Source organism: Homo sapiens, chromosome 16 (assembly GCF_000001405.40).
Source record: "Homo sapiens chromosome 16, GRCh38.p14 Primary Assembly".
NCBI lineage: Eukaryota > Metazoa > Chordata > Mammalia > Primates > Hominidae > Homo > Homo sapiens.
In genome coordinates this window covers 4,734,537-4,747,789 of record NC_000016.10, presented here as the reverse complement: position 1 = coordinate 4,747,789, position 13,253 = coordinate 4,734,537, and the positions used below count along the sequence as shown (strand labels likewise).

The 13,253-nt window shown below is 52.4% G+C and overlaps 2 protein-coding genes across 4 annotated transcripts in view; one reads left to right on the top strand and one right to left on the bottom strand.

Moving 5' to 3' along the window:
- The window catches only part of ZNF500 (zinc finger protein 500), a 22,918-nt gene extending 19,373 nt beyond the window's left edge, over positions 1–3,545 (top strand). Inside the window, exon 7 of the mRNA XM_011522453.3 lies at positions 1,574–3,545. Within this exon, the coding sequence (XP_011520755.1) occupies positions 1,574–1,698 (125 nt within the window). The 3' untranslated portion in view covers positions 1,699–3,545. The remainder of the gene's footprint in view (positions 1–1,573) is intronic.
- The window catches only part of DNAAF8 (dynein axonemal assembly factor 8), a 14,860-nt gene extending 1,607 nt beyond the window's left edge, over positions 1–13,253 (bottom strand). The window contains exons 1-9 of one of the 3 annotated variants that reach the window (NM_139170.3): positions 13,092–13,253; positions 11,147–11,326; positions 9,844–9,990; positions 7,131–7,637; positions 4,630–4,747; positions 2,779–2,920; positions 1,278–1,415; positions 765–863; positions 156–447 (exon numbers count right to left, since the gene is read on the bottom strand). In NM_139170.3, coding sequence (NP_631909.2) covers positions 165–447; positions 765–863; positions 1,278–1,415; positions 2,779–2,920; positions 4,630–4,747; positions 7,131–7,637; positions 9,844–9,990; positions 11,147–11,275 — 1,563 coding nt within the window. In that variant the 5' untranslated portion in view covers positions 11,276–11,326; positions 13,092–13,253 and the 3' untranslated portion in view covers positions 156–164. Of the gene's footprint in view, positions 1–155; positions 448–764; positions 864–1,277; positions 1,416–2,778; positions 2,921–4,629; positions 4,748–7,130; positions 7,638–9,843; positions 9,991–11,146; positions 11,327–12,625; positions 12,833–13,091 lie in introns of those variants that run through there. The other 2 variants (XM_017022975.2, XM_005255144.4) reach the window with 2 other exon arrangements.

Genomic DNA, 13,253 nt, shown 5'->3' with positions numbered 1-13,253 from the left:
CTGAGCTCTAACAGGGTGGGCAACAGTCCAAAGTCTGAGGGTCCCTGCCTCTGGAATGCCCCTGCTAGTGGAAATGCAGGAACAACAAGGGGACACCGGGGCCCAGGGTCCATGGCAAGTCAGCCCGCCCCTGCCCACTCCTGGGATCCCACTACCTGAGGCAGCTATAGTTGCTCCAGAGGAGGCATCAGGGCCTCCCTGGCTGCCCCTGGCTCAGGAACATCCCCCAGGGCTCTGGGCCTGCCTCTTGGGAGTCGAGCCTGGGCGCTCTGCCCCTTGGCACAGAGCTTCATGTGTTGCTTCCTCCCAGTTCGTGATCCAGCTGTGTCTTCAGGGGCCTGAGCCCTCCCACCCGCGGGCCCCTTGCTGGCAGGCAGCTCGGGCTGGGCTGTCCCCTTCTGAAAGGCCCTGAGCTGCTGGAGAAGCTGGCTTTTCCCGGTACAGGTCCTGTGACACAATGAGACCAAATTCACTCAACCCCGTGGGGGCCGCCCCTCCCAGCCCTCCTTACTGAAACAGGAGAAAAGCAGATGAGCCCAGCTCCCATTTCAGAGCAAGAATGCAATTCAGGCAGCCCATCACTGCTGCCACTGCTGGGACCCAGTGGACGTGGGCAGGATGATGAAAGCTGTGCCGTCCCCCTCACCCTGTGCGGTGGGTGCAGCAAGACCTCACCACAGGCGGTAAATGTGCCAGGTGGAGGGCTTGCTGCAGAAAGCAGAGGTGGGACATCTGCAGGTGGCGAGAGGCCCCTGGGTGGTTACCGTAGCCCCAGGGAGGAAGGAGATGCCCCCTCTGCGTCTCCCAGAGCTGCCATCTCTTCCTCCTCCTCCTCCTCACTGTCAGAGGAGCTGTGGCTGGAGCTGCAGGGAGAGAAATGGGTTTCTGGATGTGCCCACTCCACCTGGTGTTCCAACTCTTGTTGGGGCTTGAAGCACTCGGGCTTTGCTGGTGACCCAATGCAAGAGGTCAGCAGCCACACTGGAGGCCGGTGGACGTCCTGCCAGGAGGTGAGGACAGGTGTGGGTGATGCCCTCCAGCCTAGACGTGTTGGGCTCTATTGCATAGAGCCCAGCCCGAGGAGGTGTGCCTCATGCCCCTCTTCCCTCCCTGCAGGGACCCAGGGGGACTGTAGGCCAGCACTTTTCAATTGAGAATTGATCCAAGCCTTTTGAAGTCCCTGTTCCTCCCCATCAGGATCCACCAGAGGCTCTGTGCGGTCAACAGGCAACTCTGCAAAGTAGAGGCTGGTATGGGGTAGTCACTGCCCTCCGGACCTTTCTGGGGACAGGTGGTCTGGTAGCTCCATCTGCCGCAGGTCAATAAAGATGGTGGGGGACTCTGCGTTAAGCCTCATGCCCTGGGCCAGCTGCGGGCCTGGCCCAGCCTGGGAGCCCTGCTTCCTTGAGGCACATCTGAAATGAGAAAAGCAGGTGTTGTGGAGTCAGTTCTCTGTGATAACTCTGTGACCTGCGCTGGGTTTGTCCAGTCACAGTGCTCGTGGCTGCCACCCAGTGAGTGCCCACTCTCTACAGACGGGCACATTAAACACATTTGCTCTTTTACTCTTCAGAACAGCATGCGAGATTTAGGCCACCACTGGCCAACAGAACGTCCCTCATGATGGACATGCTCTCTATCTGTGGTAAGTGTAGCCACTTGGCACAAGTGGCTAAGTTTACATTTAAGCCAGTTTAAATCCAATGCATAAAACATTCAGTTCCTCAGTCACATTCACCACGTTAGGTGTTTAGTAGCCACACACGGCTAATGGCTGCCATGGTTAACACTGCAGTTCTCTCCATTTCTTTTTCTTTTTCTTTTTTTTTTTTTTTTTGAGACAGAGTCTTGCTCTGTCGCCCAGGCTGGACTGCAGTGGCATGATCTTGGTCACTGCAACCTCCGCCTCCTGGGTTCAAGAGATTTCTCCTGCCTCAGCCTCCCAAGTAGCTGGGATTACAGGCATGCACCAACATGCCTGGAAAATTTTTTTGTGTTTTTAGTAGAGATGGGGTTTCACCATGTTGGCCAGGCTGGTCTCGAACTCCTGACATCAGGTGATCTGCCTGCCTCGGCCTTCCAAAGTGCCGGGATTATAGGCATGAGCCACCGCGCCCAGCCAGGTGTAGCCACTTCTGTTAGGTACTTTTGGTTTCCAGACACAGAAACCCACTGCTGGTCAGGTGAAAAGGGATTCACTGGTTCTCAGATTCCTCAAGTGCGGAGCAACCAAAGTGTGGGGAGGGCAGGCATATAGAGGGGCCTTACGGGACCCTGGGGCCCTGCCTCCACCTCTGCCTCTCCCAGCTTCACTGCAGCTTGCCTTTCTCCCTGTGGCAGGACAGGTGGCTGTTGCCCTTCCACCCCTACACAGAGACACAGAGATTGAAAAATCCCGCAGCTGGGGTCACATGCCCAGAGCTGGACCAATCAGCTGTGGCCAGAGGGGCAGGGTCACATGATAACCTTCCTACTCTCAGGGAGGCCTCATGGCCTCCCATTGAAAGGAGGGTTCCCGTTGGGTTTGGGGAAAGAGCAGGTACTTGAGGGCTTGAGTCCCAGCCCTGCCATTTATGGCCAGAGAGAGTCAACCTCTCTGAGCCTTGGTTTCCCCATCTCTAAAATGGGGATGACTGGAGCGACTGCCTGATCAGATGCTTGAGAGTGACTGAGAAAATGCACATGGAGTGCCCCGCCCTTGGTAGGCCCAGTCAGTGCTACAAAACCATGGGGCCATTCTAAAGGACCACAGGAGCCGGGCCTGGCTACAAGTCCCACCTGCTTCCTGAATCTGCCTCTTTGGTGTCCTGGGGAGTGTCGGCAGGCACCTTCCGGGCACAAGCAGAGGCCTTGGACTGCGTGGTGCACAGGAGGGCCAGCTGTTCCATGAGCCTGTTGTGGGCGCTCGGCACCATGCGGTCTGAGGATGGCCAAAGGAGAGGCTGATTAGTGGGGACTTGGCCCACTTGTGACTTACAGCAGCTGGAGCCTCAGGACCCCTGGGGTCTCCACATGTGAATGGACCTCAGGCTCCTCCACTGCCCCCGCCCAGCCCTCTCCCTACTCAGCCCTCTGAGGACTCCACCTCTAGCTCAGCAGGGCTGAGGGGGGCAGAATCTTTATGAGCAGGGCCTGTGGCACAAGGGCTTGGTGAAGTAGGAGTGACGTATTTTTAAGTTTATCCCACTTCCTCACACCCCGGTCCCACTTGTCACAGGTGATCATAATGAACAGTTCTGTGTGTTGACTTAAAAAAAAAATAGGGTCATCCTCTATAGGTTTTTTTTCAACTTCACTTTTTTCACTTTGTATATTACATGCTTCCACGTTAACCTACGGAGATCCCCTCATCGAGCCGCAGTGTATTCTGTGCTAAAACGATCTAGCTGGACTCCTCCTGAATATGGGTTGTTTCCAGCTTTTCAGATTTTTAAACAACACTGCAGCAAACAGCTCTGAACACACATCTTTACCTACTAGAGTCAGAGTGTAAGACAGATTTTCTAATTGCAATAGCTTGATTAAAGGGTTATGTGCCTTTAAAACAGAGAATACATTCGGCCAAGCGCGGTGGCTCACGCCTGTAATCCCAGCACTTTGGGAGGCTGAGGCAGGCGGATCCTGAGGTCAGGAGTTCGAGACCAGCCTGGCTAACATGGTGAAATCCCGTTTCTACTAAAAATACAAAAAAAATTAGCCAGGCGTGGTGGCACGTGCCTGTAATCCCAGCAACTCAGGAGGCTGAGGCAGGAGAATCGCTTGAACCCGGGAGGTGGAGGTTGCAGTGAACCGAGATCGTGCCATTGCACTCCAGTTTGGGCAACAAGAGTGAAACTCTGTCTCAAAAAAAAAAAAAAAAAAAAAAAAGAATACATTCTGCCCTACTCCCCTCCACAAAGGGAGTGCCAGTTACACACACACATACACATGCACACACATGTCCTCCAGAATGGTTGGCTCTCTACCTCCTGCTTTATGGGATTTGAATTACAAACCAACAAAATGTATTTAACATAACACGGGCTGTCAGTCACAGGGGAGTCTTTGCTTTGGGACCAGAGGCGGAAGCGCCGCACCTGCCCTGGCTCCTCTGCCTCAGACCTGCCTCCCCTCGCCTTTGTGGCCCGAGTGGATAGGGAGGGGTTGGAGAACTTTCATTTTATTTGCAGGACTTCCCAGAGCAAAGCCATGAGTGTAGTGACAGTGGTGACATCCTTTGCCTCCCTTTTTAAATGGGGAGGCCAGGGGAAGCGGGAGCGTGCTTAGGAGCTGACTGCGCACAGAAGGTGGGGCTTCCTTCCCCCAGGAAGGAGGAGGAGGGAGAAGGAAGGCAGGCTGGCCCAGGGAGGTGGGGAAGAGGAGGTATGGGTCATGGGGTGGGGTGCGGAGGCCTCTCCTTTGTCCCTAGGACCTGGCCCACGCCTGGCACGTAGCAGGCGGTCACATATATGTTGAATGAATGAAGTCTTTTGGGGACTGGCAGCATGAGTGTTTAGGGCGGGGCCAGCAGGGAAGACTTGTGTGGGCTGCAGGACTGTCTGTGACCAGCCTGCAGCCCTCTGTGTCTGAGGGGCCCAGGAAGGTGCTGCTTGTGGGGATTCACGTGGGCTCCAGTGTTCAAGGTCAGACCTTGAACTTGGCGGTGGTCAGCTGCCCACCACACAGTTCCAGGTGCACGATTTCCCTGGTTGTCTTCTTGTCCCGCCAGACTCTGAAGGATGTCATCCAAATCCCACGCTTCAAGTTGCTGAAATCATTAAAACCAGTGATTATGAGGATGCTGAGGGGTCCCAGAGGCACAAGTACCTGCTTCACAGCTGCTGTGACCCATGGAGATGGTCACAGGATGTTGGGGGTAGAAATCAGGAATTCAGTGCATGACAGAGTTTGCAAATAGGCTGACCCCGCCTTTCCATTACAGATTGAACGCCTCCGTTAAGGTGGGCCTGCACTTTGCCACCTCCTTCCTATGCTTTCTTGGGGATCAGTACTTCACTTTTGTTTTTGGCACAAAGACGTTGTCTGACCCGAAGGAAACCCTGTATTGTTGTTTCATTTTGTTTTGTTTTTGAGACCGAGTCTCACTCTGTCGCTCAGGCTGGAGTGTAGTGGTGCGAGCTCAGCTCACTGCAACCTCCACCTCCCAGGTTCAAGTGATTCTCCTGCCTCAGCCTCCCAAGTAGCTGGAATTACAGGCATGCGCCACCACACCCTTCATTTTTTTTTTTTTTTTTTTTGTATTTTTAGTAGAGATGGGGTTTCACCATGTTGGCCAGGCTGGTCTCGAACAAACACCTGACCTCAGGTGATCCACCTGCCTCCACCTCCGCCTTCACCTCCCAAAGTGCTGAGACTACAGGTGTGAGCCACCACGCCCAGCCTAATTTTTGTGTTTTTAGTAGAGATGGGGTTTCACCATGTTGGCGAGGCTGGTCTTGAATGCCTGACCTCAAGCAATCCATCTGCCTGGGTCTCCCAAAATGTTGTGATTACAGGCATAAGCCACCGAGCCCAGCCAAACCCTGTGTTGTTTTCAGAAACACTATTTAGGTTCATACAGGTTCACAATGTTTGGAGGTTAAAAAATTTTGTTCTTTTAAGAATCAAGCTGTTCCAGGCAGGAGCTAAAACTGGAAGGCTTGGCAGTGAGTGCTTAGGGGCAGAGTGAGTCTGAGGAGGAGGGAGGAAATTAATCAAGAATTCATGTTTATCATATGACCTTTCAACTCTTTGCAGCCCTCTAAGTGGAGAAAAATAAGTTTTTAGGTGAGCAGAAAGAACGGTTGATTTAAACAGTAGTAAAGATGACTTCTGTGTATACCTGGTGCCAGTTTTCTCTAACCTGTTAAGAAAAATTATCCAAAATGTGTAAAACCGAGACGGTGTGATGGTTACTTTTCTGTCCAGTAGACAAGATAACTCCTCTAGGACATGAATGTGACAAGCGTATCTCTGCATTCCTCTCTTTTTCCCCAGTGTTTTACAAAATCCCAATTTCTTTTTTTTTGAGATGGAGTCTCGCTCTGTCACCCAAACTGGAGTGCAGGGGCGTGATCCCCATCTCCTGGGTTCAAGCGATTCTCCTGCCTCAGCCTCCCAAATAGTGGGACTACAGGCGCGCACCACCACACTTGGCTAATTTTTGTATTGTTAATAGAGTCACGGTTTCACCATGTTGGCCAGGCTGCTCTCGAACTCCTGACCTCAGATTTTCCTCCTGCCTTGGCTTCCCAAAGTGCTGGGATTACAAGCGTGAGCCATCACACCTGGCCAAAATCCCAGTTTCTTATGATCTCATTAAACCGGCACTGTCATCCTGCTGGTTCCCTCATTAATGCACTAAATACAACTTTTTAACAGGTGCTCACTAGTTTATGAGAATGAGGGCTTTCATATTTTGAGATCAGGCTTTGACAGAACCAGGTTCTATATTTTAGATATGGCTATATGTATTTATGAACATCCTCGGGAGTGGAATTCCTTTTTTCTCTCTCTTTTTAAATTTATACATTCTTTCTTTCTTTGTTTCTTTCTTTCTTTCTTTTTTTTTTTTTTTGAGATGGAGTCTCGCTCTGTCACCCAGGCTGGAGTGTAGTGGTGCGATATCGGCTCACTGCAAGCTCCGCCTCCCAGGTTCACGCCATTCTCCTGCCTCAGCCTCCTGAGTAGCTGGGACTACAGGCGCCCGCCACCACACCCAGCTAATTATTTTTTTTTTTTTTGTATTTTTAGTAGAGATGGGGTTTCACCGTGTTAGCCAGGATGATTTCTTTTTTTTTTAGAGATGAGGGTCTCACTGTGTTGACCAGGATGGTCTTGAACTCCGGGGCTCCCGCCTCGGCCTCCCAAAGTGCTGGGATTACAGGTGCGAGCCGCTGTGCCTGGCCTCCTTTTCTCTCTTTAAGGAAGGCAGGCCCTGCTTGTTCTTTGTTCTTGTTAACCCTCCCCCAGGATGTGCTCTGCTGGGACCCTCCACCCCTCTACTGAGACAGGTACACAGAATGGTGGATAATGGGCCTAAGGTCCTAGTGGGCCAGCCCTCAAGCTGCTTCTAGCTCCAGTGCATGGGAACAGCAGCCATGCCACAGGTAACAGGCCTGAGAAACAGCCAGGCACGGGGAGGCGCCTACCTGGAGCGAGAGCACTGGTGGTCCCTCCGGAGGCTCCACGAGGGGCATTTTGGATCTGGGAGCTGACTCCGCAGCGTGGCAGGGCGCCTCCTTCACCCCACCTTTGTCACTGCTGGTCGGGCCGCAGGCATCCCGGGTGACTTTCTGGAGGATGTCCGTCTCTATCATCTTCCTTCTCTCCTGTCGGAGGGCCCGGCGGTTCACAGATTCTTGTGAGGCAGTGCTGAGGGGCTCTGCCTTTGGGTCTCCTTCATGGCAGGAGAGAGTGGCTTCGGCCTGTGGGTCCCAGGGAGGACCCTGGGATCCTTTGGTGTTGAAAGACAGGCTTCCAAGGTCGCCTTCCAGCCACCTGGGGGGCTCCTCGGCCATCCCAAGAAGAGCGCTGACCTCACCAGAGCTTTCAAAAGGCCTGCCAGGGTCTCTTCCTTCCTGAGAGGATGCATCCTTTGTCCTTGTGTTCTGTCTGCACCCAGGTTCTGTGGCCAATTCTGCAGGCACCAGAACTGGCTGTCAAGAAAACAGGTATGTTCAGTTAGCATCCTCAAAAACATGCTTCAGGGAATGTTTTTCATAGAAAAATATGTACTTTTTTTTTTTTTTTGAGGTGAAGTCTCGCTTTGTTGCCCAGGCTGCAGTGCAGTGGTGCGATCATAGCTCACTGCAGCCTCGACTTCCCTGGCCCAGGCGATCCTCCCACTTCAGCCTCCCAAGTAGCTAGGATGACAGGCACATACTACTAGGCCCAGTTAATTTTTTTTAATATTATTTTGTAGTGACAGAGTCTCTACAACATAGTTGGTCTTCCAGGCTTGTCTCAAGTTCCTGGCCTCAAGCTATCTTTCCTGCCTCAGCCTCCCAAAGTGGTGGGATTACAGGCACAAGCCACTGTGCCTGACCTCTTTTAACCATTTTTAACTGCACACTTCATTCTACTAAAAATACAAAAATGAGCCAGCACAGTGGCGTGCGTGTAATCCCAGCTACTTGGGAGGCTGAAGTGGGAGGATCGCTTCAGCCCGGGAGGTGGAGGCTGCAGTGAGCAGTGAGGGCACCATTGTATTCCAGCCTGGGTGACACAGCAAGATCCTGTCCCAAAAAAAAAAAAAAAAAAGTTGGAAAGCTACTGTTGAATATGGGCTGGCTAAAGACAGCACCACTGAGGCATCCTGCTATTTAAATACAAGGCTAGAGTGGAATGCACTGTTACAGCAATGAAACAATATTTAAATTATCAATCATGATAATGTTGGGGCTCAGAAATTCATACCCCAAGCTAGAGTACAAGTCATCCTTCCACCTCAGCATCCTGAGTAGCTGGGACCACAGGCACACCATCACACCCAGCTAATTTTTTAGTAGAGATCCCACATTACAAAAAAAAAAAAAAAAAAAAACAAGAAAAAATCATCCAGAAGAGTTTCTGAAGTAATTGATTGTAAAAATGAAGCAGCAAAATAAAATCACATGCAAATTGTTCCACCTGAACCCACCAGAGTTCTTAGCTGCCCTGGGGATCTCTCTTGTGTGGGGTTATTTCAAACCTAGGTCTAGGAATGGCTGGGCTGATGGGAGATTTCCTTCAAGGTGATGGGTGGGTGCATGTCCTGGTTCTGGGAGATGATCTGGTTCGGTGCCCATGCCCTCCCATTCAGTAGGTTAATTGTTCTCAGCAGAACACCTGAGAGAAGTTACGCTGGAGCTAGGCCCCGTCTCCATTTTGGAAGTGGGTTAGTGCCTCTACACTGTTTTCTTTTCTTTATTATTATTTTTTTTTTAGATGGAGTCTCACTCTGTTGCCCAGGCTGGAGTGTGCAGTGGTGTGATCTTGGCTCACTGCCATCTCTGCTCCCCCGGGTCCAAGCGATTCTCCTGTCTCAGCCTCTGGAGTAGCTGCGATTACAGGCACCTGCCACCATGCCCAGCTAATTTTTTTATTTTTAGTAGAGATAGGGTTTCACCATGTTGGCCAGGCTGGTCTCAAACTCCTGACTTCAAGTGATCCACCCATACTGGCCTCCTAAAATGCTGGGATTACAGGCGTGAGCCACTGTGCTCAGCCAGAAATGGGGTCTTGCTGTATTGCCCAGGCTGGTCTCAAACTCCTGGCCTCATGGGAACCTCTGTCTCAGCCTCCAGCACTGGCAACACAGGCCTGCGTTGGCACGCTTAGTCCACATTTGCTCATTGTCTCCTGGGTTGTCCCTCCCACGAGGTCCAGCTTGTGTGCTTGCTCAGGCACTGATGGGCCATCTTCCTCCCTCCCACTCCCCACTGTAGCCTGTAGCAGTGTAGTTTAGCAGTTTAGTAAACCAGAGTTCCTGTGTACTCGCCAGGTGCTGGGATGAGCCAGGTAGCCATGAAGCCAGCTGGGTTAAGGGAGAGACAATTAGGACAAGCAGTTGTGACAATGGCCAGAAGCTATTCAGGATGCCATGGTAGAGAACAGGATAGGAGCGATCAAGAAGAAGAGAAGGGTCAAAATCGGATGGAAAATCAAGCGTGCATGCCAGCCCTAAGGTGCCGGGCTCCCCAGGAGAGGGAGGTGCGTGGAGGTTAGATGTTGGGCATCTGAATACCTTGGGTTGTACATGGGGGAAAAAAAAAAGGACCATGTTCTAGCATATCGTGGAAATGCTAGAACAGTGGTTTAGACCAGTCAGTTTAGACTAACATCGCACACACACAGGCGTATACTCTTCTGTGTCCCACAGACCTCGGGAAGGGACTCTTCAGCTGCAGCGACCCAGGCCCTGGACTTGTCGCCATCGGCAGGATCTTCAGCCAGCTCCTCCGACAGGTCTGGAATCAGGGAGGTTTGGTTTCGCTGGAAGATGAACAGCTCCTCTTCCCCATAGTCCGACTGTGGACAAATGAGAGGGCTTTTGGAGGACAAGGCAGCAGGCAGAGCCCTGAGGGCCTAGCCACCCCCGCTCTCCACTCTCCACTCTCACTTCCAGCCCAGCCCGCCCAGCCCATCCAGCCCGTCCAGCCCTGCTGCTCAGGAGCCTGGGGGAGATCCGGTTCTCTCCCAGTCAGCCTTGCTGTGCGCGGCTTCTTGCCACCGTTTAGAAATGGGCTTGGCAGCACAACCTCGTGGAGGTGAGACTGGGGCTCCTGGTTCTGCAAGTACCTCGCATACAGCAGGTGCTTCATTAATGCCTCGTGACATGAACAGGGCAGTGAGGTGGTAGCTGAAAGAGCAGGGTCCAGCCCTCCCCATCCCCTGTGACCCTGAGCCATCACTTACACAGCTTAGTTTGTCTTCTTGAAGGGGTTGGGGCTCATACTCTCAAATGAGACTGAAGGTGTGAAAACACCCTGAGCACTGAGGCGTGGGGTCCCCTTAGGTTCTCCTTAGCCTCGTCATGCACTGGATGACGTCTGAGGTCCCTGAAGCTCTGTTGCTGGTGCCCAGGTAGGACCCAAACCCTGCCCGTTCCTTTTAAAACCCTCATACTGTCTCTTAACGCCCAGTGCCAACCTGTGCACTGAGCAGCCCCCGCCAGGAGCATCTTTAGCAGGGTCTTATGCCTGCACCTAGGGCTATTGGTCTGAGCGTCTTTGAGAGCCATTTCAGGGACCCCAAACCACAAATGCAGAATCCCTCGAAGGCTTATCACAATGCACTGGAATTGTGCATTCTCAGTGGGTGTTCTGGCCCTGTCCTGGCACGAGAGAGTGGAGAATAGCAGAATGGAAAGGACAGAGCTTCTGCATCAAATTGACCTGGGTTCCAAGTCAGCACCAAAAACTCCACTGAAAGGGTCTCCCAAGATGCTGAGCACCAATACCCATGCTCAGAGATGACAATCAAGGCAGAAGAAAGAGTAAAGAAGGAAATAGGCACCCAGAAAACACAACTTTGAGTCTGGCCATGCGATTTAAAGTAAAATGACAACAAACTGCACAGGTCAGCAGGAAAAGTCTTCAGAGAAGTGCTCCAAAGCTGTCCTGGCCAGCGTCATGCCTGCTCTGGTAGGAAGGACAAGGCATCCAGGGAGAGAGTTCTTGCTTACCAAAGGGGAGTCTGAGTCCAGAGACGGGAGCTGGTCTTTGACAGCCTTGAGGATGGCATCCCAGGGCCCCATCTGGGAGGCCCAGGGAGAGCCCAGCGAGGGTGCCATGCCTTTATCGTTGGATGCCATGAGGGCCCAGGCTTCCAGATGCCTTCTCAGTGCACCATAATCCGGGGAGCTCTGTGGGGTACACAGGGTGATGGAAGAGGGTCCGGGCCACTGAAGGTCAGGAGAGCAGGGGCTGCTCTACCAGCTGTAGGAGACCAAACAGGCTGGCAGGCCTCACCACCTGCCTCAGTTTCCTTCTAGTTATGCAAGCTCCTGTTAGTGCCAGGCACTGTGTGTGTACGTGTGTGTGTGTGTTCCCACTCATGCACACATGTGGAGCCTGCAGGTATATAATGTATATAGTGATATATACATAATAATATACAAATATATGTATTGATATAAATATACCTATGTAGATATATGTACATGTTATATAGAATGCCATATGTACGATATATAATGATATATAGGTATATTTTATATATACCCCATATAGCATAACTATTCTCTTCATTTCATAGGCTCAGGGTGTTTAGTAAATAGCAACAGTGGACTCTGAATCAGGGGGAATTTCAAGTCCTACTACCCTTTACTGCCCTTTACCAAGGAACAGAAGACACCTTGCTTTTTTGTTTTGGAGACAGGGTCTGGCTTTGTCGCCCAGGCTAGAGTGCAGTGGTACAATGATAGCTCACTGAAGCCTCGGCCTCCTGAGCTCAAGTGATCCTCCCACCTCAGCCTCCTGAATAACTGGGACTACAGGTGTGTACCACCACATCTGGCTAACATTTTTATTTTTTGTAGAGATGGAGTCTCCCTGTTGCCCAGGCTGGTCTCAAACTCCTGGCCTCAAGTGATCCTCTTGCCTCAGCCTCCCAAAGTGCTGGGATTACAGGCATGTGCCATCGCGCCTGGCTGACAGTTTGGAGTCACTAAGTGATTTTTTTTTTTTTTTGGAGTCACTACTCTGACCAGCCCCTGCATTTATATCTTAGAGTCTTAAAGGAGATGGTCCTGTTATTCAGGGGGCTGGGGAGCTTGAGCTTGAGAGCTGGGGGGTGAGGGTCCTCTAGAGCCAGTGTCAGGAGAACTCTGCAGCTCGAGAGGCCGCTGTGGCTTTGGCCCTGCAGTCAGTGCCCGTTCATCCCCAATCAGGGCAGCGGCAGGAGATGTGAATTGGGGGCTGCTTGCTTCCTCTGTACTTCTGGGAATAGGGCAGGTGCTTGGTGCACTCTGAACTGGGAGCAGCGGGTTGGGGACGCATCTGGTGCACACAGCCAGCGGGTGTTTTTTGTAACTAGAGCTCTGTTCCGCAATTCAGGGCACAGTATTTCTTAGGGCAACAGAATCGTCGGGATGAAGAGGGCCTCCAGAGACTCTGATAAACCCTTCAGGCGGACAAGACAATAGGGGAGGGAACGGCATTACCGGCAGAAGGAAGAGCATGTACAGTAGCTCAAAGGAATGAACCGCCCAACAGGTTTAAGGGAAGAAAGTGTCAGTTGCTGGACTCTCCGGTGAAAACGGACCAGACAATGCAGGGCCCTGAACGCCAAGTTGAGGAGCTCAGAGCATCCAGAAGGCGAAGGGGAGGCTCGGAGCCGCCTCTGAATAACGGCCTTCCGGCTCCGTCTCGGGGTGGGTTTCTCAGCTGCAGCCTGTTAGCCCCGCCACAGCCCCGCCCCGGTTCTCAGAGCCCCGCCCCCAGCCGGCCTGCCACGAGGCTGCCGGTTGTTATGGCAACCAGACGCCAACAGCCTCCCGGGTCGAGCTTTTAAATTTTAAAGCTGTGGAAGTGGAAAGCCCATCGCTCCTCCTCTCACCCACCCCCAGCCCGTATTTCCCCGCGTTTTGTTCAACTCCCTGCAGGCGCAGCAGGCCCGAGGCCCCTCACCTCAGGCCTCTGCCTCCACTCCCCGCGCTGTCCTGACAGCGCTATAAACAGCCTCCAGCGCGTCACTCCGCTCGCGTCCGCCCCTCGGGCCGCGCCGCAGGTACAGAGGCTGTCCCCTTCTTCAGCACTCTCCCTCTCAGCGGAGCTTTACATTACTAGACT